The sequence below is a fragment of the Homo sapiens genome, chromosome 1 (genome assembly GCF_000001405.40).
Source record: "Homo sapiens chromosome 1, GRCh38.p14 Primary Assembly".
NCBI lineage: Eukaryota > Metazoa > Chordata > Mammalia > Primates > Hominidae > Homo > Homo sapiens.
In genome coordinates, this window is record NC_000001.11 from 8,345,512 (window position 1) to 8,371,134 (window position 25,623).

Consider the following 25,623-nt stretch of genomic DNA (forward strand, 5'->3'; position numbering starts at 1 on the left):
CCAAAAGTTGAAATCTCAAAGAGTTTGGAGCTGATGTGGCTGGCCAGCGCCCATCCTGCCTTTTGACTCCACAGGCAGGGACTAGGGGCTGGAGGGCGAGGTTCGGGTCATTCTTCCCCCTCCATCCGCCAAGGGTTCATTCCACAGATGGACACCATGTGCCTGCTGCGTGCAGGCGTCGCTGGGCCTGGGTCTGCCCGGGCTGTGCCCACTGCCTCCCAGTGCCCCTTTGTGGATCTGGCAAAGCTCTCGTGAGTGTGGCAGTCCCTCGCCATCTGGCCTCTGACCATCTTCGTCACCTGACGCTGGAAGCTCACCAAGGCCCCTTCTCAGAGGCCTGGGAGGGCTCCTCCACGCATGGTGATTAATGGCCATGAGGGGTCACGGCCGGGTCCCTGTTGTCGCCAAGCTGGGCCTGGTCTGGGATTGTGCAGCCCCCAGTTCCCTCACTGCATGGGCCCTGTGTTCTGGGGACATATAAGACATCCCTGACCACAAATCCACAACAAACAACAGGGGTTCTGGGGCCTGTTGCCAGCCTTGGGGAGTCTGGCGTTCATGACAGTGTCTTATCATCTTGCTGTGACCACTTAGGGCCAGTCAGAAAGGCTACCTCCCCACCTGGGCCACAGCCTCCCTCCCAACCACGGCCTCCCCACCTTGGTTATGATTTTCCCACCTGAGCCCCGGCCTCCCCCATGGGCCATAGCCTTCCTCAGTGTCACTGCCTGCTGCCTCCTGGAGCCCCACCACTCCTCTCTGCGCCCCTGCTGGACTCCTGGCCTCCTGTCTACCCTCACATCCATCTTCCACCCTGAAGCTGGGGGGCTGTAAACACGGGCCTGAGCCCATCCCCTCTTCTAGTCTTCCATGACACCTACCCTGGCTCCCCAGACCCTAAGGAATCAGGTAGAAATTCCTTCCACCAAACAGAGCCCAGCCCATCTTCCCGAGCCAGCCACCCGCCACGTTGCCAGCCCCCTGTACTACAGCCACAGAACCTTTGTGGGCCACAATCGGTTCCTGTGTTTAGGATCTTCCTGCAGGCCAAGTCCACCTCTTCTCTGCCCATCAATATCTGATTCATCCATGTAGACCTGTCTGAAATGCCACTTCCTCCGTGCAGTCCACCCTGCTTGGAGCCAGTGATTCTTTCCCTGTGCTTTCATGTGATGCTGCTTTACCCTTCATGGTCATGAGCTCAGTGAAGCGGGTCTCACGGTCCCTGATACACATGTAGCTGAAGCACAGAGAGGTTTAGTGGCTTTTCAAAGTCACACCGCTCCTTTGAGCCTCTGTAGACTCAGGCCCTGTTAGTCCCATGCTTTTCCTGGAACTGCAGACTTACCCTCCCCACATTTATGTTGTTTGGAAGAGCTTCAGACTTCCTAGAAAATGTGGTGTTGGGTGGCTGTCCTCTGGTCTGGGCTGTCTTTGCCCAGAACTGGTCAAAATGAAGAATAAGGGGCTTCCCGCTTACTCTTGGCTTGTCAAATCTTAGGCCCTCTTCCTAGAACTTTCTAACAAAACACAGATTGCTTCTACACGTGGGAATCGTCCCTGTCAGCCTCTCTTTTCTGAGAACCTGCCCTGCCTCCCGAACTGTGGGAGTACTGCCCTCTGGCCGGGTCCGAAAAGCTGCCCTTGACTTCCAGGTCTATTCCTAGCAGATGGCAGTGGGAGCAGCCACCAGCTCCAAACCACGAGGCCTAGGACTCACTGAGAGCCACATTCGTTTGACTTTCACATCTCAGAGAGGATTTCTCTCTACTTAAAAATCAAGCTGTGGGCCGGGCGCAGTGGCTCACGCCTGTAATCCCAGCACTTTGGGAGGCCGAGGCGGGTGGATCACGAGGCCAGGAGATTGAGACCATCCTGGCTAACACGGTGAAACCCTGTCTCTACTAAAAATACAAAAAATTAGCTGGGCATGGTGGTGGGCGCCTGTAGTCCCAGCTACTTGGGAGGCTGAGGCAGGAGAATCGCTTGAACCTGGGCGGCAGAGGTTGCAGTGGGCTGAGATTGCACCACTGCACTCCAGCCTGGGTGACAGAGCGAGACTCTGTCTCAAAAAAAAAAAAAAAAAAAGAATCAAGCTGTGATGATGAGGGTAGTCACCGCTGCTTGCTGTTTGTGAAGTCCTCACTACACACGAGGCCACGTGTGAATGAATCTTAATCCATTCTCCGACCTTGCTGGGAAAGAGGTATCATTCCCCCATTTGACAGATCTGGATCCTGAGGCAAGCACACCCAGTACCTGGCCCACGTCACAACAGGGTGGAGTTTGAGCCCGGGGAGTCTGAGTCCAGCCTCATGCCGCTGAGTGCCTTAGGAGCGCTGTGAGCCGGCCAAGCCCCTGAGGGCGGGCAGCTTCCTGCCCGTCTGTCTCCTGAACACTGTGCTGCTGCAGGGAGGCCTTCTCGCTCCCCAGGGCTCGCTCCCCAGGGAGCTCAGCTTGGAGGGAGCTTCTCATCCTATTCAGAGGCGAGGGGACAGCGGGAGAAGGCCTCTTGCTTTATCGATCAGCGCTCTGTGAGACTCATGCTTCTCAGGCCACTCAAAACAAAAACCACATCACCAAGATCTGAAGCCACTCCTGACTTTCCTGTCAGCAAACTTGGAAAGTGGCTCCCATTCCTTGATGCCACTCAGAAACGAAACACACCTAACAGCCATCGAGCACTGCCCACAGCACTTAGCATGGAAACTGAACGTCATCAAAGGAATTGCCCTAGAGGTCATCGCCTCCCTGGGTTTTGTGTTTCTTCCTCCCTAGGCTGTTGGGCTAACCCTGGACCATTCCCTGGGGAACCGGGACAGGGTAAGGTGGCATTCCCTGGAGAACCGGGAACCGGGACCCGGTAAGGTGGCATTCCTACACTCACCAGGCTGGGCTACAGGTTTCTGGGGGAACAGGGATGATTTCCCTGGAATATGCAAGAACTGACAATTGCCTGGCCCCCCCGCAGTCGGGAGGTCCTGGCCCTCCCTGCACCTGCTCAGAGTGTGTCTGCAGAATCCACTCGGGTGCGTGGGGCGTGACGTATCATCCTCAGCGGGGAGCGGGTGGAGGGCATCCGTAGAGGGAAGGAGCAGGTGTCTGGAACTGGGGGTGGGTACTTTTGTGGCACACAAGGACCCCCAGCAGCTGCTCAGGGGGCTTGTCGGGGAGTGGGGGCGCGGTTAGTTATGGGAGTCATGATTCTTGGAAGTCATCCGCTGCTGATGCCATCCTGGGATTCTCTTCCACACAAGGAACATTGAGTTCCTACCGGGTACCTCCCAAGCCTTGGGGGATGCAGCGGAGAACAGAAGAAACCTCCTGTTCTCTAGACAAGGCCTTTGCCCTCATTCTCACAGCCGTGCCCGCCCTGCCTGCCCACAGCCATCAGCCTCACCTGCCCACACTCAGCCCCCTCTTCCCAGCCATCTCCACAACCCGCTCTGCTGAGGCCTGTCCAGTTGCCTGATCTCTGACCCGCCTGTCCGGCCGCCTGCCTCGAGGAAACGTCGGATCTCTTACACAATGCTCGCTGTCAAACCCTCCAGCCTTCCCCACCATCGCCGGGGGCCTTGACTTGCCCCTACACCAGAGCTGCAGGTCTTGTGGCAGCCGCGGGCCCAGGGCAAGCACCTGGGCCTTGTAACGACTGCCACCTGGTGGCCAGGATGGGGATGGACTCTGTTCGACGGCTGCCCAGCAGCAGGGTCCAAGGGGATTGGGGGGTGGGGGGGACTGGGTGGTCACATGCCCAGAAAACAGTGGGATAGGCAAGAAATGGCCTCAGGAATCCTCTCTGGGACAACTAAAAGGTGCTCTAAAAGCCTGTTTTTAATTTGCTCCAATGGATACTCAAACCCTAGGGGTTCATCAGAAGCTGATCCCCCAAGCCCCATTCCCCACTTCTACGATGGTGTCAACCAGGGTTGGAGTCAGAGGGACTGCAGGGCCCACACGGCAGGCACAGTCAAGAGAATGTGAAGGGAGGGTCTCCAGGTGCCCAGCAGAGGCGTCCCTGGGAAGCCTTCCGAAGTCAACCCAAAAGGTCCTTCTATCTGGTCCTTCACACCCACTTTCCAATAGCACATCTGGACTGGCAGCAAGGAACCTTGCCCTGCAGGGCCCGTCCGTCCGTCCATCCGTCCGTCCGTCCATCCATCCATCCATCCATCCATCCATCCAGCAGGGTCCATCCACCCATCCATCCATCCCTCCAATATCTGCAGAGCAAGTGCCTTCCACAAACTTGGTTCATTAAGAAGGGGCCCGGGTGCCTGTGCATACACAGAACTGGGCTGTGGGAGATACAGGGGGACTTCTGCAGCCTGGGTCCCTGAGGTGTCAAAAGGGAACAATGACCACTCTTGACAAAGACAGCCACTAGAGAAGCCACCTTGAGTTGGAGAAGCAGAGAACCAGGTCCCAGAACTTGAGTTGCCAAGGATTCCAGGGCAGCTAGGAACCCAGTGGGGATTCAGGTAAAGGACCTCAGATACCGAGACTGTCAAAGGCCGACAATGCCGCCTCCGAGAGGACCGGGTGAGGCATCTGCAGCTGGAGCTCATCAGGGGCTGAGCAGGAGGCTGTTCCTGGCCCCCTGGGGATCCACGATGGATGCCAGCTCCAGCCAGGCCCCGCCTTCTAACGGGAGGTCCGGGAACCTTATGAACCAGAAAGGGCTTGCTTTATCCTGCAGCCCGTATCAGTCCAACCGGATGGCCAAATGTGCGGCTGCATCCCTTGGCTGGCTCATCTGGCAGATCCTCCTTAGGAGGAGGTAGGGAGGCCAAGGACCCCGCTGTTCCTCGGTCTCCATTGGGCAGCAGGAAGGGCCCCAGGGGTCCAGTGCAGGACAGACTTTTCCACTGGTTTTGGGGCCTGGCAGCTTCATCCCCAGTATCTGGGTAGCTGGTTCTGATTTCAAAGCTCTGAGTTCAGATATGTACCCAAGCCTTCTGGGCTGGTCAGGTGAGGCTGATGGTGGTCACTGAAGTCTGTGCTGGTGCCCAGTCACACTGCCCTGGGTCTCACCATGTGGTCAGGCTGGGGCTAGTGAGGGCTCTTAGCTCAGATGACGGCTCCCCACATCTCAGCTTCCACACAGAAGGGCTCTGGCCCTGACCCCCCCCCCCCCCGCCCCCCGCCACCACTCATCAGCTGATCACATCCACAATTGTATAGCTCACCAGTGCTGATTTTTGAGGGCCTGGAAGCTTGCAATCTCGTGTGTGTGTGGGAGGCCACCGCTGATCTCTCCACGGTGCATCCTTGCCCTTCAGATGCGTGATCTTGACTTACCCAGGTGAGGCTTAAGTGAGGTCTCTCCCTCCCTAGACTTACCATGGACAATTATCAACAATGCAGCCACACACCCAGCTGCACACCTACACTGTGCTGAGGCCCTGGGACTTACACCATGCCCTGCAAAGTGCCATCTTCCTAGCCCACCTGCAGTGGAACCAGCGGGGCTGCTGAGCCACCATGCTCAAGCTGAGGATGCGTTTCCAGGAACAAAGGGGCAGAGGGCACGTGGGACGTCGTTGGGGCAGCAAGAGGCGAGGGCCTGGCTTTGGGGTGCTGCTGGAGGACAGCACCATTTCCCTCCGCCCCGTCCACCCAGCAGATGTCTGGTTAGCATTCCCGGCCCTCTTCCTCACATGGGTGCGTGGCAGAGTGGTGACAATGGCCACAGCTGTTCATGCCTGAGAAGCTGCCCAGCTCTGATGAGGCCTTGTTGTAGCATGAACCTACTATCTCCTCAAGACGCTTGGATCCAACCATTTAACCACACTGAAATCTACACTTCACAGACCTGTACCTGTTAAACCCTGCAGCTTCCTAAGGGGCACAGTCCCGGAGACCCACCAAGACAGCGCCTGGATTCCAGCCTCTCCCAGCCACCCCAGTGCCATCCTCTCACCCAAGACCTGGACTGAGAGCCACCTGGGGCTCCTGTGGCCAGCCTGCGGGCCCATCCCTGTGCCCTGGTCAGCCACGCTGCTGAGCAGGACCCCTGCTGTTCGCCTCAAGGGCCGTCATCGTGTGCGCCACTCGGGTCTTTGCATGGCGAAGCTTTCTCAGGTCCTGAGCGAGGCAGTGCCTGGTGCCTGCTGCTCCCCAAGTCTTTACCACGTGGCGGACCCTGCCTGGTTTGAGGACAGTTTACCAACAGTCAGCTTTCTGGGCTGCTCTTGCCCCATGTCTGCAAACACCTAGAAACTGATGGCCCTATCCCAGATGACAAAGGGTGGACACACATTTCCGGGGACAATCCTGAGGCTCCAGGAAAATGCCCTCAACAGGTTCTGAAGCCACAGCGCAATTCCAACGCCTGCCCCCCTGTGGCCATGTCCACACCCTGCAGGCTGCCTGCAGCCCCTTTGGAGGGTTAGAGCCCCTTAGGCCTGGGATGCATCCTCCACCTGGAGTGCAGCTCTAGAGCTGGGTGGCTGGGGGTGGGGTGTGGGGGCACTGGTAGGCCACGGGGAGGCAGATGGGGGCCAGGCAGGAGGCCGCTAGGATGGGGTGGTTCCGATGTGTCTCCTGAGCAGGCAGGGTGCCACATGCCCATACATGCTGGTAACGCCCACGGATTAGAGGTGTGGGGTGAATGGCAAGGGGTGGGGGAAGATGCTCTTAGTCCCAATGCCAGTGCCTGCTTAGGGCCCATCCCGCTGCTTGGGGAGCCTCCAAAGAAAGACAGCACCCTCACCAGGGAAAGCCTCTTCCCAGACAGAGGATGTTTCTGGAAGCCACTCTGGGATGCAAACAGGGTCCCGAGCAGCAGGGAACAGCCGACTCTCCCTCTGTCCCTTCCCCACCTGGGGTAACAGCCAGGATCCCCGCCCACTCTCCAGGAATGAGACAGTGCACGGGAGACACCCAAGGGTTGTAGTGTAGCTTGGTTTTATTTATGTCCACAAATATTTCAAAAAAATTACAAAATACTCAAATGGAGAGAACACAGAAGTCACGATTTCTGGGTGTCTACTGTTTACACTGTGTTATCTCATGGCAAACTACTCATATATACATTTAGCTTCAAGATATATAGAAACGTAGCAAATCCGAGTGTGCACGCTGCCTCTGCCGCAGTGGAGTGAAGCTCAACCTCGAGGACACCGAACAAGATACGGACACACACAGAGGAGCCAAACCAAACCCCGAACAAAGGGAGGAAAATCCGAAGGAAACCGAGTGGTTGGGCTTCAAAGACACCATGAAGGTCAGGGCCTCCTAAACAAACTGTAGTTTATCTGGTGAGGGTTTCGGGTCGAGGGTTTTTTAGATGGAAGAATCTCAGCGCTTCGCCTTGGGATATGGGGAGAAAAGCAAAGCTAACAAGAATGCCTTCGGACGGCTTTCAAGCACAGACCTCAGAGGACTCGACTCTTCTTTGGAAAAATGGATGCCAAAGGAGGAGATAAAGAAGGTTTAACTGAATGGTAGATGTTGTGTTCTACCAAAAAGAAAGAAAAACCAGAAGCCGAGAAGGTGGGGGCCTGGATGCAGGAGTCTGGGAGCCCAGCAGGAAGAGGCCTCGCTCAGAGCCACGGGAACAAGCCTGCCATGAGGGCCTGTCCCCACCCCAGAAGGAAACGAATGCCTTCAAGCCAATGTGGCCTGAAGTCCCACGACAAAAGGTTCATGTCAGCTTTGCCTCCCTGTGAACAAACTAAAGTTAAGGCAGAAATGGAATGAGAGAAAAATGAAAGAAAAAAAACTAGAAACATTTTCAACAGACAAAACAAGCCTATCCCAACTGAAACCAAACACGGTTTTTAAGAGAAACTGGAAATGTCGCTATTTGACGCCAGAACCTGAATTTGAGCCAGTAGCTGCTGGTTTCTAGATCAAACTATCAGCATCTCTTCCTGCTCCCTCTGCGGCCTGGGTCCTGGATGGACTTTGTGTCCGCCGACCCAGTGTGGTCTCTGTCCTACAATTCTTGGGATGGGACCAGCACAATGGCAGAAGAGACCTCCAGTGTCTGAGAGAAAAGGATCGGAAGAGGCCACGTCCTGGCAGGAAGCAGGGCCGACAGAGGGCAGACACCCCAGAACACCCGCCCTCAGCCTGGGAGAAAGTGCGTTACGGCTGCAGCCTGGAAACGAGGGCAGGCTCTCTCCAGGACGGTTCCGCTCAGAAGGGCCTGGCCTCCTGAGAAGCAGCCCCCACACAGCATGCTTTCTGAATGCACTGTGGGTGGGACTCCAGTTCCCACTTCCAGGATGAAGAGTGGGACTCAAATGGTTTACCAGTGCAATGTGGGGTCACCATGCAGACCTGCCCCTAGGGTAAAATACAGGCTGCCCCCAACACCTGTCTTAACTCCAGGATCTCCCTTGCTCAAAAGTGGCCTCAATCTGTGGCAAGAAAGATGGGGCCGTCCTCACCACAAGATCCAAGTGACAATGCGCATGAGAAGGCAGCCTTCTAACACATCCCTTTGGCAGGCATATGTCCTGGGTCACTTGTGTGCTGAGTTATTTGTATGGAATCATTTTCTTAGATGATGAAATTTTCGGAGTATTAAAAAAGACATTCATCCAGAACAATCAAGTGTGTGTACACAGAAATCTAGAAGGAAATCTACAATGGACACAGGCCCATGCGCTTTCCATCCCGTGGAAACAGAACAGTGACACTGGAGAACAGAAAGTGAACATTCACCTCCTGCACTCCCTGTGCAAAATGGAAGAGGTCTGATGGAGCAGATGTCTGTGCTGCTGGCAGAGCACAGGCTAGGAGCAGACACAAGTGAAACGCCAGGCAGAAAACAGAGTCTGTAACATCGTCCCTGCAAACCCTGGATGCTCGCTGCTGTGACCAGGCCTCGGTCCAAGCCTCTGTCCATGTGGAACGCCCCTTTGCTCCCTTTAATTAAAGGGATAATTATATATAACTTTTTATTAAAAAATCAACTCTGTATTCTGTCAATAGTTGGTAGGAATTCACAATTAGTGACATGGCTGGAAAAAATAGATCACAATAGTAGTTTATGGAAGAAAAAAAGGCTGTTCTAAAATTATTTATTTACAGACGTAAAAAGCCATGCTGCAGAACTTTCTCCAATTATGAAGATTTCCTACAATGTATTAAAATAAAAGATTTTTTTTTTTAAAAATTATAGCTCTTGGATTCCAAATTCCTATGCCCCCGATCTGCAAGCCTCGTGGGCTCTGGAGCACTCGTGGCGGAGTGTGTCAGTGTGTCTGCACGCACAGTGAAGGGTGTGAACTGGATTCTAGCACCTACTGAGAAATCAAGGAAAAGAAAACTAAAGCCAAACCCCAAGATTGCAGGGAAGCTTTCTGGATGTTCAGTCCAGTCCAGGACTCACTAAGTTTCTGGGGGACTGTCATGCAGGGAGATCCAAACCAGTCTCAGGAAATCCTCTCGACAAACGAACACTACTATGTGGATACATTTTTAGTTGTGGGTTTTTAAATATATAAAGAAATCTTTAGAAGATATTCTTTTTGCTTTTGCAGCTCCTATTTTATGTAAAAAGTCCTGTTTCTCCCCCCAAGAACTGGGGTTTCCACAGCCAGCGTTAACAAATAAATAACTTATAACTGCTTGTCACCTTCTTTCTTCAGTCGACTGGAAAGACAAAACAGGAAAGCGTATTTAGTCTCAGGCCTAGGCAGGCAGTCACGCAGGCTGGAGGCAACCCCAAAGACAACAGCCAGGCAATCCAACCCCAAGCCCGCAGCCTCCTGTGTAGCTGACCTACCCTCCCAACACCTCCCTTCCTCTGTTTCTCCCATCACCATGGTTCCACAATGTCCCCTCCAGGGCCCAGCAGGCAGAGGGGGAGGAGCCTGGCCCTGGGCACACGGGGAGGTTGGGAGCCTGGGCTCAGATAACCCCTCCACTCCCTCCCAGCACCCCACCTCACCTGTAATAATCTTCCTGACTTGGTAGGTGGCCACCATGCATGTGGGGGTGTCCATGCAGCCACTGCTGCTCCATGGCCAGTCTCTGCAGCTCGGCCGACTGGGCATGCATGGCCTGCAGCTGGTGGGCTGCTGACATGGGGGGTGGGATGGCCCCAGGCAGGTCACGGGGGTAGGGGGTGCCTGCCGAACACAAAACAACCTGCGCTACAGAAATAGCCAGAGGACTGGCCAAGACCAGGGCGGCACAGGCACAGCAAACGGCAAAGAGCACAGGAGAGGTGCCAGTTCGGACACAGGAGCCAGCCCCTCCCAGACTCTGCAGACAGCCAGAGGGCAGAGCCTCTGGGGAGGCAGGAGGTGCCCTTGGGTGCCTCTGCCTGGACCTGCCTGGCCCCTCCTCCAAGGCCTCAGCCCAAGTGCTTCTCCTTCAGAGACCTGCCGTGAGTCCCCTCTGCTACTTTCACCGGCTCTTAGCAAGGCTGATGCATTTATGACCCCTACCCCAGACAGCCCCCAGAGGGCAGGAGGCTTGTTCCCCCACGGACCCCCTGCATGCAGGGGGAGCGAACCCACCTGCTCAATGCATGAATGAATGAATGAGTAATGAATGAAGACAGCAGACCAGACCCCAACCCAACCCTCACACGGCCTCCCCGCCCCTCCTGGAGGGGAAGTCTTACCGAAAACTGGGTGGCGAAGCATCTCGTGCTCGTGTGGGGGCTGTCCAAGCAGAGGGTTGGGGAGAGTGCCAGGCGGGTAGGGGAAGCGAGCCAGGTGGGGACCGGCAGTCAGGGGGTCGACCAGCGGGTGAACGGGGCCTGCTGAACCTAAGGAAAGGACAAAACGCCAGATGGAGGCGGTGTGCAGCTCTTCAATGTTTGTCCCCCTTGGCTGGAATGACCGATGACTTCCTCCTCACCCAGGATGGCTCCTGGTCACCAGGGCTGGATGCACCACCTGGCTACAGGTGGCCCTGCCCCAAAGTGGCTGCCTCCACCTTCAGCAAGAGCTCCAGAGGCCGAGAGAAGTGACGAGCCCACCGCTGATGCAGGCACTCCCTCGTCCGCTTGTGGAGTGCCCCTAACAGGCAATCCCAGGCCAGTTTTGTCGAGGACCCGGGATCAGCAGGGTCCCTCTCGCCGGCCACCTGGGCCTGCCCTCTGCCTGTCAGGTCACAGGAACACACAGCCTTGCGCCAGTGGGTGTTGGGCTGGCACCCCCTGCCCAGGGCTGTCTCCCTGCTCTTCACTCGCAGAACCTAAAGGAGGCCAGCAGAGTGGGTGGCGCAGAATGGGGACCTGGCACAGCACTGCCCTCTCCTCTCTGCTGGCACAAATCTTGCGTCTCTCCCTTCAGAACGTTGCCTTGATCTGACCTCACTGCACCACCTCCTGCCCTCACCTCCTATCTCCCAGCTCCAGCCAACACAGGCGCTGGCAGGGATTTCAGGGTTGCCACCTCCAGCCATGCTGCCCTGGGGTCCCTGGAAGATTGGGAGCCCCCGCTCTGCCTCTGTGGCTGCTCTTGCCCCGATTTCCCACAGCTTGCCCTTTCATCTCCTCCATGTTTCTGCTACCTCCTCAGCGGACCTCTCCTGACGGCCTTCTCGAAACCGCCATACTGCCCCTGCGCCCAGCTCTCCTGATCCCCTCTTCTGGATTTATTTTTTTCCAGAACATATACTTTCTGCCTCTCACAACGTGGCACACGTCTTTCAACTATCTCCCCAAACTGGAAGGTAAATGTGGACAGGGGTTCTGCCAGCACCTACAACTGTGCCTGGCACATTCCAGGGGTTCAGTAAACACTTGCTGAATGAATGATGCATGAATGAACAAATGACTACCTGTCCTCAACACTGCTCATACTGAGGCTTGTAAGGTCTACACCAGGTGCCAACAGAGCTTCAGATATGAGGACGGCAATGGTGAGTGCTCTCCCATGTCAGGACTGGGTACAGGGGCAGGGGAGGCGCCTGGTGCCTCCAAGCAAGGTGGCTCCCCGCCCTCCCTCTGGGCCCTGCTCTATCAGTCATCCTGCCCCACACTGGAGGGTGGCCAGTGAGGAAGCCCTGCACGTAGGCTGTCCCACAGGACCTGTACTCCAAGTCCCATGGAGCAGGTGAACCTGCCTCCTCGTAAGCACAGTAGCCACCCCCTGCGCCATCTCACCAGGCTGCAGAGGGAGTGAGGATGCCAGCTGGGCCTGCCTCTGCCTCAGAGCAGCCTCTCCACAGCTGGTCAATGAGTGGCCTTAAGGAGCTCCTACTTCCAGGGTGGACAGGACTGAGCAGCCCTGGCCAGGTGGGTCAGCTCGGAAAACTCAGCCAAAGCCAGCAGGAGGCCTGCCCAGCCTCGCTCCTCAAGGGAAGAGGACTGTGCTTTTCATTCTCCCTCAGCCACCCTTGAGTAGCCCAGTGCCTTATCTGTACGTTCCTTGGCTCCAAAGGCCACATGACACTGCTCTGCTGCCCTTACCCTGCCCTGTGGGCCTAGGCCACTTCCCTCCATCCCAGGCACAGGGCCAAGAACCCAGGCTTCACCCGTGTGCTGCAGCTGTCTGAGGCCTTGCAGTTCTGGAGAGCTGCGGGGCCGAGGAGAGACTGCGATACAGCAAAACCATGACGGTAGTGGATGCTGAGCTCTTCTAAGATCTGCCAGGGATGAGGGATCTGTTCAGAAAAGAACAGTTTCCGCTCCTGGATGGTGACTGTCACTCATCAGGCTCTGCACCCCTCCCCGTGCCTCTGTCCCACCTGCCACGCTGGGGCACGCACCTTGGTGGAGGGGGTCCTGCTGGTGGAGGTGGAGGTGGGAGTGAATGTGAGAGTGCTGGTGATGGTGCGGAGTCACGTTGAACATCTGCAGTCGGGCCAGGGGATCGCTGGTCAGCGATGCCATGCGCTCTGCGTGGATACGCTCGGCTGCCAGTCTGTCAGGGTAGCTCATCTCGGGCCGCAGCTGGGGGCCCGCCAGGGCCAGTCTCTCCCTCTCCAAGGGGTTCAGGCCCGGGTGGAAAGAAGCAAAAGGGTGGGGCCCGGCGGTCGGGGGGATGGTGAGGGCGCTGTGCCGGGCAAAGTGCTCCATGGGGTTGGCGGCTGGGTGCAGGGGGTCCAGCTCTGGGGGCTTCACCTCGAAGCCCGGCTTCATCCTCTCCCGCAGCTCCCGCTCTCGGATCTCCCGCTCTCGGATCTCCCGCTCCCGGAGCTCCCGCTCGCGGATGGTGGGGTCGACGTTGTAGAGGCCAGGCATGTGGTAGGCCAGCAGGGGGTCCGTGGGGTTAAGGGGCATGTAGAAGGGGTGGTTGCGGTTGGTGGGCGACATGACGTGGGGCCGGGCGTACTCGCTCAGAGTCCGAAGGGCAGGTGTGTCGGGCCCGATGTAGGGGGGCACAGCAGCAATGGTGGTTGGTGGTGGCTCGAAGGATGGCCGCATGTGGCCAGGACCACTGAGCTGTGGGTCACTGAGGCGACCTTCATGCGCTGAGCTGGACGCCTTCTGCAGAAGGAAAAGAAAGCGTGAGGGGTCCCCCGAGCGCCTGGGGTCTCCGCTTGGTCCACACTGCGGAGGTGGGCCTGGTCCTGCTCCTGGCCTGCTCTGACAGGCCAACCTGGTCCCTCCACGGAGACCCGGCCCTGCCTTGGCCTGACACCAGGATGCAGTCCAGGCCCCACAGGGTCGGGCTCACCTGTGCCCGCAGCTCCCCTCAGGCCCAGATGGGAATGTGTCCCTGTGAGACTAAGCTCATGCATGGGTTGTCTACGTGTGAGGGTTGTGTCTGGGAGTGACAGCTGGGGGGCATGGGTGAGTGAGCCCAGCAGGCCAGGAACCTCACTGGCAGTCCCTCATGCCACTTCCTGGGTTGGCTGCCCTTTCCTCCCCGCGACAGCAGAGAGCTGGCCACCACCACAGCACCCAGCCCACGAGGGGGCCACAAAGGCAGGGCAGCTGGAGAGGCCCCTCGCAGCCTGCTTATCGCCTGAGTGCTCAGGTCTTCTCTCAAGGCGCCCCCTTGTGCTTCTCCCCGACTCCTTCAAATTACTTAGAAGTTATGAACCCAAAGGCTGCAGGAGAAGGACAGGCCCTTTCCTCGAAGGCCCTCCGGTAGGAGGACGCACAGTCACTGCTGGGAGTCAGCCTAGACCTGCCATGCGCAGTTACCCCGGCAGCTTCGGATGTGCAGCACCCGTCAGAGGTGTGGAGACAGGGTGTAAATAGCACCCAACCCTCTAGCTGCCAGGAGGCCGAGTCAGGCAGCCAAGGGCAGAGCTCGGTGGCCCAGCGTGGCTCCCAGGCGCAGGATGGACCAGCGCCCCCCGTCACACCTCGCCAACCCTGGACTCACAGCCGCCCGCTCTGCCTCGCGCTCCCGCTCTCGCTCCCGCTCCCGCTCCTTCTCCTTCTCCTTCTCCCGCTCTCGCTCCTCTCGGGCTTTCTGCTCAGCCTCGCGCTTGGCCTTCTCAATGGCCTCCTCCCTCTTCTTGGCCAGCTTGGACCCGGCCAGAGGCATGAAGTACAGGTCTGTCCGGGCACACGAGTTGTAGCCCCGGTCCAGGTGTTTGTAGAACCTGAGAAAAGCCACAGATCTTGCTGGGAGCTCCTGCCGAGACCCACCCCGGCCCTCCCTCCCACCAGAACTTGCCCCCACCAGCCCACCTGTGCCTGACCCGTCCTGGAGCCCTAGGAAGCGTACCTAGCTGACTGGCTGGCGTGACTGGGGGTGTCCACCACAGTGGGCTCCGGGGACGGGCTCCTTGGTGGGGGAGGGGGGCTCTCAGGCTCCTCAGCGTCGTCCAGAGCCTCCTCCTTGATCTGGACGGTGGGGAGTGGGCAGGACGACCCCCCCGCTATGCTGCCTCCTGAAGCCGCCGCACCAGAGCAGGGTGGCTGGGCCGAGGTGCCAGGTCCCGCCGGTGGGGTAGAGGTGGAGGGGCAGGTCGGAGGGGTGATGGGAGGAGGGCCTCCAGGGACAAAGGGGTGCTGAGCAAACGGGGGTTGGGGGGCCACCTGGTGGAGGCCTGTAGGGGGGTGGGAGGCAGGGGGCGGGGGCAGGTTCTGGCTCTGGGTCAGCCCGGGGGGCTGGGCGGGCGAGGAGGGCAATGGCTGGCTCTGAGGCATGAGTTGCAGGGGTGGGGGGTGAGCCGACGGGGGGTGATGTGTGGACAGGGAGCTCAGGGGCTTCAGGGCTGGAGGGGGAGGCAGGTTGGCATTCATGGAGAAGGGTGAGGGCCCCGAGAGGTGGGGAGGGTGCTTGTGGGCCTGTGGCGCCGGCAGCTGGGGGATGGGAGTGGTAGGCGGGGGCTTGATGTGGGGCATGGCCAAGGGCGCTGGTGGCAGGGGCTGCTCCCGTGGAGGCTGTTGGGACTGCAGCGCTGACTGAGAGGCTGGCAGCTGCAGGGAGGTGTGAGGGTACGCTGCTGCTGGGGAGGTCCCCAGAGGGGCCTGGCCTTGGGAGGCCTGGGGAGGGAGGCCAAAGGGCTGTGGGGGGCCTGGGTGCTGCAGCAGGGGCCCAGCCTGCAGGCTGTGAGGGCCGGGTGGGCCCTGACCGTGCAGTGGGGGCTGGGCATGAGAGGGTGCAGAAGGCTGGCCCGCCGACCCAGTCAGAGGCTGCAGCGGGGGATGTGGCGAGGGATGCGGCGGGGGATGCGGTGAGGGCGGCCGCTGGGGGTGCAAGGCCGGTGCCTGTTGGATGTGGGTGTGGGGAACAGGCGCTGTGGGAGCCTGTGGCTGGTTAGGGGCCTGGGAGGCCGTGGGGGAGCCCTGTGGGGGAACTGCAGTGGCAGAGGGCGTGGGCCCTGGCGTGGGCAGCTGAGGGGTCCCTGGAGGAGCTGAGGAGGGAGCTGGGGTGACCCCAGTGGGAGCCTGCAAGGCTGGGGGCTGGGCCTGCAGCATCTGCTGCTGGGCTGACGAGTCCGAGTCACTCTCATTGTCCTGGGGGCTGGGGATGCTCGGGGACGTGCTGCGATTGTCCTGGTCGATGTCTTTGGGGTCACTGCTACCCTCATCGTTGACGCTGCGACTGTCTGAACTCTCTCCCTCACCTTCAGATGGCGAGTTGGGCCTGCTGATCTCCTGGAGTCAGAGAAGGGAAGGATGGAAGTCCCAGGAGGGCAGAGCCCTGTCTGCTCTGCACCACCAGTGCCGGACACACAGTAATGTTTGTGCAGATGAAGCAGCAAGCTTGGCTCCGGGACCACAGGTCGTGCCCTGACCCAGCCAGTGTCAAAGGCCACTCCAGCCCCACCCTAGGAGACAGGGCACGGCCACCAACTAGGGAGAACCCCGGCTGGGGGCTTCTGAAGAAGCATTAGCTTTACTCAGCAAGGCTCAGCAGCAAACCTCACCTGCGTTTTTGTCTTCTTGGAGCTGGTCCTGTCAGCCTCCTCCGTATCAGAGGCCACCTTCTCCCGCTGGCGTTTGTTACTCTTAAGAGGGGAAGAGGCTTCCTCCTTCACCTTCTGCAGGGGAAAAGCCCACAAGGAGCAATCAGGCCAAGGGAGACCATCCCATCAGCCTCAGCAAGGAAATGACGGTTTGCAGACACTTTGCTCCCTCATTCTGAGTTCCATCTCCAGGAGCAAAAAGCTCTAGAAGGGTCAACTGGGGCCAAGAAGGAACACGTATCTGGGGGTGGGAATGAGAGCCAGCCCTCTGCACCTGTGGGTTTGCATCCTCAGATTCAAGCAACCATGGACTGAAAATGTAGGCAGGACTGTGATGGTTACATCTATACTGAACGTGCACACAATGTTTTCTTGTCATTATCTCCTGAACTAGACAGTGGAACCACTGTTTAAACTGCATTTACATTGCACTGGGCAGTAGAAGTAACCTAGGGATGATTTAGAGTCTACAGGAGGATGTGACTGGTCACATGCAAACCATGTGTCGATGTATATGAGATTTGAGCACCTGTGGATTTTGGTATCCTGGGCGGTGGAGGCTCTGGAGCCAATCTCTAATGGATACCAAGGGAGGACTGTACTTGGCTCTGGAGGGAGCCGTTCTAACCACTCCCCACACTTTCTGAGAACTTGGGAAGCTTGAGGCAGAGGTGGCCCCCAAGAGTTGGTGCTCGAGCCCCCTTCTCTAGGCCCCCAGCCTTCGGTCTGCAGCCCCTAGGCCAGGACAATGCTGGTGTCCAGACAGGCTCCATGAATGAGCTGCATCCTCGTGTCTGAGGGAGCTGATCACGAATACCAGCAAACCAGTTTTAATGTGAGGGAGGGACAGAGTAGGCCCTACTATCCCCCCAGCACCTGACCTTGGCCGACTTCTTCACTGTCTCTGCTTTACTGTCATTGCTGGAGGTACTGGCAGCGCTGGGGGAGTTCCGGCCGCTGGAGCGGATGTCTTCATTGATGGGTGAGGTGCGACCATCAGGGCTGGCTGGCTGCTTCTTCCGACCACTGCGTAGTGTCGACATCTGCCCACCCAAACCGAAGACTGGTGACACCAGATTCCCAGTCCCCATGTGGACCCACCTGAGCCCAACCCACAGGCAGAAGCCTGAAGGCACACCCTATCAGCCTCTCAGCAAATCCCAGACCTTGGCAAACAACAGGCCGCCCTGCCTGTCCCTGGCTGCATGAAGGTCGGTGTGGAGCTCAGGGAAGAGGTGGGGAAATCAGTGGGCTCACGCCAGAGGGCGGTTCTCAAACCTAAAGCACTCATCCCAAGGGACTGTCCTGAACAACGTGTGCTGGAAATGAACCACACTTTCTGAGCGGCAGAAAGTCGCCTGGGGCCATCTTTAAAGCACCCTACACCCTTTCTGTTTATTCCTCATAACCGTCCATTCTCCCAACCAAACCAAATGAAATCAAACACTTGTGGATTTAATCTGACAGGACAGGAAGTGACCCAAAGAGATGAAGCTGTCAAGTAAAGCAGCTCAGCTCCCCAAGCCGCCAAGCGCTTCAGCATGTTTCTGCAAAGCCATGAGGGCTCAGAAGAGATCAGGAGACAATGGTTCTGGCTGGTTGACCTGCTCCCTTCTGAGTGAGCGGGGGCCGGGCTGCCAGCAGCCTCAACGGCATACAAGGGGCAGAGGAAAGTGGATGGTCCCACCCACCTGCCAGAAGGGGCCATAAGGGAGGCTGAAGGGAAAGACCCTGTCAGTACCCTCAGCCCCAAACCTGGAAAAAGCCTCTCCCAAAGTCCCTGGCACATTTCCAACCTAGGAAACAAAGTCTCTTTATGGGAGGAGCTATGCAGTGAGCAGAAAAATGTATCGGAAGTTTCCAAAACGGGATCAAACATTTAAAAAAAATCACAAACACACTAACACAAAAGAGCCTGCAAGTTTAAAATAGCAGAGATTTGATACAATGGAAGTGACACCACAAGCAGCAGCCTTGGAGAGCAAGAGGGGCCTTGGAGAGCCTGCACTGAGCCAGAAGCTAAGAGCTTGCTACAAAACCCAGAGCAGGATGCCACCCTGGGGCCCCTCGAAGGAGAGAACAGAGAACTCTTCCCAGCCCACAGGCAAGCTACCGCCTCGGGCAAAGCAGCTCCCCTCCAGGACTTTGTCTGGTAAACAAGACTTTCGCTTCCTCCCCCTGGGAGGCTCAAGCCCCCACACATCCCAGGAAACTGAAGAAGTTGCCAGGAGCCCCATGGCCCCAGGGGACTCACCGAGCCCCGACTCCGCCGTGTCCTCATGCTATGCTTCCCACTGAGCCCATCATCCTCTTCCTTGACGGGTTTGAACATAAACGGTGGCGGGTCCACGGGCTTCTCAATGGGCGGGAGCTCACCGTATTTCTTGAAGTGGATGCGACAGTCGGTGCAAAGCAGGATGTTCTCCCGGCCTCCGTGGTGCCAATCTTTGGAGGCTGTGTGAGGGAAGTGGTGGGGGCCAACCTTGGAAACCATCCCTCTCCCTGGGGATGTCTGGGCAGAGGGGCCCTTCTGTGGGCTCTACCCAAACCTGATGCCACCAGCACCATGCAGCCCTGGGCCCCAACACCCCAGGGCTAGTGCTGCCCTGCTCCCCCAAGGCCAGGAGAGGGTTTCAGGGGCATCTGCTGCCCACTTCAACTTGGGGTGCCCAGGAAAAGCTGGCAGCAAGCTCCTGGGAACTACAGTGTCAACCCCCCAATCCCACTCAATCTGTCCTGCCTACCAGTCAGTATTCCATACCGACTGCCAAGCAGAGGAGTAAAGTAAACTAAACATTTCTAACTTTCTCGAATCCCGAAGCACAATGCAAATGTCAAATCAAGTACTGTCCCTGGCAGGTTTCCAGCTGGATGCATGAAATGTTCAGAACATGGAAGTGCTTGTGCCCCCGCCCCGCCCCAGGAGCGTGACGAGGCCACTTACTGGTGGTGAAGCAGTGGCGGCAGGCGTACCCCTTCAGCTCCTGCTCACTGTCCTCACTGTCGAAGTCATCTTCACTGGCTGAACTTAGGTCCACTGGGCGTGGCAGGCACATAGTGGGGGTGGGGGAGACACCATCATGCTCAGCCAAGGCTGGGCCGGTGGGGTGGGGGGGAGGGGGGAACACCTGTGACCTCTGGCCTACTGCAGGTTCTGGCCACCAGTCAGAGCGGCTGGGTGCACAGGCTGAGGTAGGACAGTGTCTGCAAAGGACCACTTCGAGCTCCTCAGTGTCAGTCACCAGGACAGAGGGCCTGTGTGTGAGGCGCCATACCCAAGGGCCTGCCCTGCCACTGATGCCCGTAACGGGTGAGTCTGAACTGGGACAAGCGCGTCCATGCTGCCTCCCTCCCTAATACGCCCAGGCAATCCTGAGAAATTCCAACTTCACCGAGCGCCCCCAACCCGTCCTGCTAGGTGATTTCTAGTCGCCTGCATGCGCAACACCGGCGCCCCTCAGGTTCAGCGTCCCGGGCCAGGACAGAGCTATAAGGCACTTTTGCTACACCCCAGTTTTTTAGGGGTGAGAAGGTGTGGGCTCCAGCATCATTAGATTGTACATCATACTGGGACCAAAAAGAGGATCTTGGTGAAGCAGGAGGAAAAAGAAGAAAGTGTTAATCTGATCTTCTTACAACCAAAAGTGCAATGAGAATTCAAGCAGGACATCAAGTACATCATCTGTCAAATGGAAAACCTTCCCAGGACAAGGCCAAAAACATCCCAGGCCAAGACGTGTATTTTTTGTAAAAACCTAAGATGATGTTGAGTTTATGAGAAATATTTAAATGTACAAATAATGTTTTAAAGTCTCCCTCCTGAATCCTTGTCCTGCTCCCCGCCCCCACCATCGGTCTATGTTTAGGTCAGGCTTCACACATGCACTGGAGCACGGGTGCACACCCCCTCATGCTTCCCGGAGCCATCAGCTCCTACGGGCCCAGAGTGGGACAGGCTGCCCGTGAACAGTCTCCCCTCCGCCCACTGTGATGCCAAGACCCCTACTCACAGAATTCACTGGACGGGGGTCTGGAGGGTGTGTTGACGGGTGTGGACGCGGTGCGAGTCTTAATCCTCCTGAACACGGCCTGCCTGCGGTGCCTACGATGGGCTCGGGAGCTGGCTGCTTCGGGGGTCTTCTTCCAATAGTAATAGAAGGTGATCAGCTCCCCCTGCAGAAGAGAAGGGCTGACTGTGGGGGAGGGCCTGGGGCTTTTCCGTGCCCCACGCACCCTCTCTGCCACAGTGGAAAGCTGGGTGTTTAACAGCTGTGCCAGAGATGAGAATAAAGACCAGTCGCTCCTGGAGTTGGGAGAGGAACTGGGCTTGCCCAAGAAACAGCCACTGAGCTGCCCGTGGACTGCATGAATGGGGCCCGCCTCCTCAGCCCAGCACAGCTTGACTTCCAGACACCAAGAACAAGTACTTGTTGGGTGTCTGCTATGTCAGACCCCACCGCTGTTGTACACATGGGAGGTACACATCATCCACAATGGACGAAAAGGAGAGAAGATTCCTGCCCACGAGGAGCTTACATTCTAGCTGTGTGTGCACGTGAGTCTGTGCATGTGTGTGAACACAACGATGCTTTCTTTACAGTAATGCCAGTGAAATCACACAGGTGTGAGAAGGAAATGCCCGGCCAGTTAGACTCCCCCAGAAACAACCAACCAACCAAAGCAAACTGCCCAGGTGGTGAGGAACCAGGGCCAAACAGAAGGTGGGGAAGAACAGAGACCGCATGCTCAGGAAACTGCTCCACAGCCTCCACCTGGCTCCATCTGAAGGCCCACATCTGACATGCCGGCACGACGTCCAGAGGCAAGGACTGGGCTTGGCAAAGAAAGACTACAAGAGGACAGACACACAGTGGTGCTGATGCAAAGGTGAAATATCACACACCACAAGGTCAGGCTTCTTTTCATGGCCCAGCAGAAACAAAAGCAAGATACCTTTTTGGAAATATAGCAAATGTAAGCTTTTTAAAGAAAGGGCACTTTGGGCACCCCCAGCCCTCAGGGCGCTGCAGGCTGCCATCTCACCCTACACACAAAAGACGATTTCTTAAACATCCCAAGATAAAGTCTCTTTACCTAGAACTGAAAAAAAAAAACAAAAAAAAAAAACAAAAAAAAAAAACCCAAAAAACAAACACAGCCAAGTGAGAGAGCACAGATCACTTGGTTTCCCTCTAATTAAATCAACACTGTAGAAAGTCTATTAGCTTGGCGACTAGATGCTGGGAGTTGTCTTGGAGGTACCTGCACCCTCACTTTGTCTCATCAAACACTGTCTTGTGAATGGAGGAGGCAAAAAGAGAGAGGGGAAAGTGAGAGAGGGGGATGGAAAGACTAGTGTTGGAAGGACTAAAATAGACAAACCAAACAAAGACATGTAGCTGCCACATGACAAACTCACCCATCAGACCAGATTTCATCCAAAACACCCCCAGAGGAAATGGCCTCAGAACACAGTGACAAGAGAGGTGGGCAGATTTTAGGTGGTGGGGTGGCTTCCGCAAGGCAGGGGATGCCGTGCCTTGAGTACTTGACTGCCCACAGCTGCATCTTATGCCTGGGCATTTTTGTAAGAAGTGGGACCACGGCTGCGGTCCCTAAAGGAGGGCTGGAATGCCTTGAAGGAGGGCTGACTGGCCTATAAAGCCCATCACATGTATCTCCTGGAGCACTGGACGTGTCTCAACCTCCCCAAGCACTTAACACTTAACAAATTACTCCTGATCACCAATACCTAGCAGATGAAGCATAACCCCAGGCCAGCAGGGCCAGGGAGCCATCTCGGGACAAGCACACTCATGTCCCTACACGTATGTGCATGTGCCCACCCCTCGGTTCCATGAGATGGTAACTGAATGATAAGGAGAAATGCAGATACTGCCATTGGAATTTCTGACTGGCTCCTCTCCCCCATGCTAGTCTAGGAATGCGAGCTACAACTGTCCCAGCGGGCATGAGCATCCTGGCCCCTAAGGTCATGATCTGTGAACCTCCTAGCTCTTTTCACTTCCTGCTTTCCAGACTTGGAAATGCATTTATCTATACTGATCCTTGGGTGTTGGCTAGACGGAAAAGATTCGTAAATCCCACTAGGGGGTTACAAGATCACTGCTGACATAAACGCTGACTTGTGTCTGGTTTTCCTCTGAGAAAATATGGAAGAGAAATCAAGGCAGGGAGCAGTCACACTCCAAATGCTCTGTCCAAGGTCATGCTTCATGAGCTCAAAAGGGCAACTGGTGCTGTGATAAGTCACAGCTCAAATTCCAGAGCTTGAAAGAAGAATGAGAAAAAACTCACAGTGGTTCCTTCTACTTCCTCAGTCCAAGTCATTTTAGGGGCTACTGAATGATAAAAGCTTGGGATGTGGCCAGGTGCGGTGGCTCACGCCTGTAATCCTAGCACTTTGGGAGGCTGAGGCAGGCGGATCACCTGAGGTCAGGAGATTGAGACCATCCTGGCTAACATGGTGAAACCCTGTCTCTACTAAAAAAAATACAAAAAATTAGCTGGGCCTGGTGGCAGATGCCTGTATTTCCAGCTACTCGGGAGTCTGAGACAGGAGAATGGCGTGAACCCGGGAAGCGGAGCTTGCAGTGAGCCGAGATCGTGCCACTGCACTCCAGCCTGGGCGACAGAGTGAGACTCTGTCTCAAAGAAAAAGAAAAAAAAAAAAAAAAGCTTGGGATGTAAGAAGAAATGCAAAGCTATACGAGACAAAAGGGACCAAAAACGGGAGAGAAAAATCGAGTGAGAAGGTGGTACCTGAGCCTCTGCCATGCCTTCAAGTCTTACCTGAAGGCTGTTAAAAAGCAGCAACCTGACTTTTCTAAATAGCATTTGTCTATAATGCAATATTGCTACACACAGTTATAATCAATTATTTCTATTTATCAAATATATATGTTTTGAAATGGCTTTAAAAGATAGTAACCTGCAGATCCCAGGTTAAGGGAAGAAGCCAGGCGCAGCAGTTTACGCCTGTAATACCAGTACTTTGGGAGGCTGAGGCAGGAGGATCACTTGAGGCCAGGAGTTCAAGACCAGCCTGGGCAACATAGTGAGATTTAGTCCCCCACCTCAAAAAAAAAAAAAATTATCTGGGCATGGTGGTGTGCACCGGCAGTCCCAGCTACTTGGGAGATCAAGGCAGGAGGATTGCTTGAGGCCAGGAGCTTAAGACAAGCCTGGGCCCTACAGGCCCAATCTCTACAAAAAAGTTTAAAAAATTAGCCCAGTGTGCTGGTGTGTGCCTGTAATAATACCAGCTATTCAGGAAGCTGAGACAAGAGGATCACTTGAGCCCAGGAGGCTGAGGCTGCAGTGAGCTACAAATGTGCCACCGCACTCCAGCCTGGGGGACAGGGCGAGAGGCCATCTCTTTAAAAAAAATAAAAGAACACTTAAAAACAAGAAGCCAGAGTTCAGTGAGGTAAGAAACTGCCCCATGCCAGACAGAAAAAAGGCTTAACTTTCAAACCTTTGCTCCTGGCTTCACTGATCTCTGCCAACAAGTGAAAAAAATCAAGACCCAAAAGAAAGAAATCTAACATTGAAATCAACATCAACTTTTTGTTGACACTTAAAGAAGAAGTAGTCCAGAACAGATTTCACCATCTGAGTGCCAAGGATGAAAATGACCAGGCAACTGGTTTCTCTTCAAATCGAATAAATCTTTCGCCTTTTACTAAAAAAAAAAAAAAAAAAAAAAAAAAAAAGAAGAAAAGAAAATGACCAGGCAGGAAGGACTGTCCTCCACAGCAGTGAAGTCACAGGTGGTAAGAACGGTAAACTTACAATTCAGGAAGGTGACAGGGTGACCAGAACTGTCATCCACTGCTGGTGGAAATACAGAATGCTCAAACCACGATATCTACCAAACAACCCAGCAATTCTTCTCTTATTTACCCAAAAGAAAAAAAAAATTCTCACACACAGACTTTCACGGATACATTCATAGAAACTATTCTATATATATATATTTTTTTGAGACGGAGTCTTGCTCTGTCTCCCAGGCTGGAGTGCAGTGGCACGATCTCGGCTCACTGCAAGCTCCGCCTCCCGGGTTCACGCCATTCTCCTGCCTCGGCCTCCCGAGTAGCTGGGACTACAGGAGCCCGCCACCAGCCCGGCTAATTTTTTTTGTATTTTTAGTAGAGACGGGGTTTCACTGTGTTTGCCAGGATGGTCTCGATCTCCTGACCTCGTTATTTGCCTGCCTCGGCCTCCCAAAGTGCTGGGATTACAGGTGTGAGCCACCGTGCCCAGCCAGAAACTATTCTTAACAGTCCAAACTGGAAACAACCTAAATGCCCACAAGCAGGAGAATGGATAAACAAATAATGGTATCCCCACATTCACTGGACTACAACTTGGCAATTAAAAGGCACAGACCACCGACACATGCAGCAACACCATGCTGCATGAAAGCAGGCAGACAGGGACGGTGGGTGCTGCGTGAGTCCTTCCCAGAGATCACAAAAACCAAACTAGCGGTTGCCGAGAGCCTGGAGGGTGGGGGACAAGAAACTAAAAGAACTCAGGTAAGCACTCCAGGGTGATGAAAATGCTCTGTAAGTTGAATGTGGTGTCACTGACACAAATGTATACAGTGGTCAAAACTCATGAAACTGTGTACTTAAAGTGGGTGCATTTTTACGGTATTCATACCATATATGGCAGGTTACGTCAATAAAGCTGAAGAAAAACAACAACAAATCCAGGCCGGGTTTTATTAGCTGCCTCTCAACCACTGTTATGCCTATCAAGGGATTCAACACTGGAATGAAGCGAGTCTAGGATCGGAAATGGCATATTGGTGACTGCATGGGTGGCAAGGTCTTGAGCACAAACAAAAGAACATGTCGGGGAAAGCTCTGGTTCTACAAATAGGGAGTGAAGCAGCTAGAGGCCTCGCCAGGAATGAAGTCAATTGAACTTTAATCAAACATGCATAGTGTGTGCTGCAGAGACCCGCTGCACATAAATTCAGGGAACAAAAGCTGTTGCAGAAATCAATAGCTTACTGAAACATTAACACAGGCAATCATTAATCAAAAGGCAGCTCCACAAAGGCAGCCTTGCAAATTAGCTCCTGATTTTGCCTGCAAGCAAACACAGAGGTATAAAATGTTGTCGACATGAATGGCCTATAATGATCATTTTGCTCCTGATGCTCTCACCTCATCTCACAACAAGGTCTCACAGTCAACATATCTTATGTCTCGGTGCTATAATTGCACACAGCATGAGGAACTCAACTGGTTTAGTGCCTGGGCAGAAATGGGAAAGGAAGAGGGCGAAGTCATCTCCAAC

At 55.5% G+C, this 25,623-nt stretch overlaps 1 protein-coding gene across 3 annotated transcripts in view, besides 8 other annotated features; it reads right to left on the minus strand.

Annotated features, from left to right (window-relative positions):
* Positions 4,352 to 5,172: an enhancer, noted in NCBI's record as "H3K4me1 hESC enhancer chr1:8409923-8410743 (GRCh37/hg19 assembly coordinates)". NCBI's record gives its function as "activates a minimal SCP1, AML or CMV promoter by ChIP-STARR-seq in naive H9 embryonic stem cells {active_cell/tissue: H9 hESC(naive)}" and the evidence as "EXISTENCE:reporter gene assay evidence [ECO:0000049][PMID:30033119]".
* RERE (arginine-glutamic acid dipeptide repeats) overlaps positions 6,893 to 25,623 on the minus strand; it is a 465,237-nt gene continuing 446,506 nt past the window's right edge. For all 3 annotated transcript variants that reach the window (NM_001042681.2, NM_012102.4, NM_001042682.2), the window contains 11 exons: positions 20,301 to 20,463; positions 19,235 to 19,327; positions 18,545 to 18,744; positions 17,172 to 17,333; positions 16,252 to 16,365; positions 14,601 to 15,979; positions 14,253 to 14,475; positions 12,685 to 13,405; positions 10,589 to 10,735; positions 9,908 to 10,088; positions 6,893 to 9,609 (listed from right to left, as the gene is read on the minus strand). In NM_001042681.2, the coding sequence (NP_001036146.1) occupies positions 9,576 to 9,609; positions 9,908 to 10,088; positions 10,589 to 10,735; positions 12,685 to 13,405; positions 14,253 to 14,475; positions 14,601 to 15,979; positions 16,252 to 16,365; positions 17,172 to 17,333; positions 18,545 to 18,744; positions 19,235 to 19,327; positions 20,301 to 20,463 (3,417 nt within the window). In that variant the 3' untranslated portion in view covers positions 6,893 to 9,575. The remainder of the gene's footprint in view (positions 9,610 to 9,907; positions 10,089 to 10,588; positions 10,736 to 12,684; positions 13,406 to 14,252; positions 14,476 to 14,600; positions 15,980 to 16,251; positions 16,366 to 17,171; positions 17,334 to 18,544; positions 18,745 to 19,234; positions 19,328 to 20,300; positions 20,464 to 25,623) is intronic.
* Positions 13,726 to 14,227: an enhancer, noted in NCBI's record as "H3K4me1 hESC enhancer chr1:8419297-8419798 (GRCh37/hg19 assembly coordinates)". NCBI's record gives its function as "activates a minimal SCP1, AML or CMV promoter by ChIP-STARR-seq in naive H9 embryonic stem cells {active_cell/tissue: H9 hESC(naive)}" and the evidence as "EXISTENCE:reporter gene assay evidence [ECO:0000049][PMID:30033119]".
* Positions 14,228 to 14,727: an enhancer, noted in NCBI's record as "H3K4me1 hESC enhancer chr1:8419799-8420298 (GRCh37/hg19 assembly coordinates)". NCBI's record gives its function as "activates a minimal SCP1, AML or CMV promoter by ChIP-STARR-seq in naive H9 embryonic stem cells {active_cell/tissue: H9 hESC(naive)}" and the evidence as "EXISTENCE:reporter gene assay evidence [ECO:0000049][PMID:30033119]".
* Positions 19,150 to 20,120: an enhancer, noted in NCBI's record as "H3K4me1 hESC enhancer chr1:8424721-8425691 (GRCh37/hg19 assembly coordinates)". NCBI's record gives its function as "activates a minimal SCP1, AML or CMV promoter by ChIP-STARR-seq in naive H9 embryonic stem cells {active_cell/tissue: H9 hESC(naive)}" and the evidence as "EXISTENCE:reporter gene assay evidence [ECO:0000049][PMID:30033119]".
* Positions 21,829 to 21,998: a silencer, noted in NCBI's record as "fragment chr1:8427400-8427569 (GRCh37/hg19 assembly coordinates)". NCBI's record gives its function as "represses an EF-1alpha promoter that drives an FKBP-Casp9 reporter gene in an ReSE screen in K562 erythroleukemia cells {active_cell/tissue: K562}" and the evidence as "EXISTENCE:reporter gene assay evidence [ECO:0000049][PMID:32094911]".
* Positions 21,829 to 22,446: a biological region, named in NCBI's record as "H3K27ac hESC enhancer GRCh37_chr1:8427517-8428017".
* Positions 21,946 to 22,446: an enhancer, noted in NCBI's record as "H3K27ac hESC enhancer chr1:8427517-8428017 (GRCh37/hg19 assembly coordinates)". NCBI's record gives its function as "activates a minimal SCP1, AML or CMV promoter by ChIP-STARR-seq in naive and primed H9 embryonic stem cells {active_cell/tissue: H9 hESC(naive and primed)}" and the evidence as "EXISTENCE:reporter gene assay evidence [ECO:0000049][PMID:30033119]".
* Positions 24,050 to 25,038: an enhancer, noted in NCBI's record as "H3K27ac-H3K4me1 hESC enhancer chr1:8429621-8430609 (GRCh37/hg19 assembly coordinates)". NCBI's record gives its function as "activates a minimal SCP1, AML or CMV promoter by ChIP-STARR-seq in primed H9 embryonic stem cells {active_cell/tissue: H9 hESC(primed)}" and the evidence as "EXISTENCE:reporter gene assay evidence [ECO:0000049][PMID:30033119]".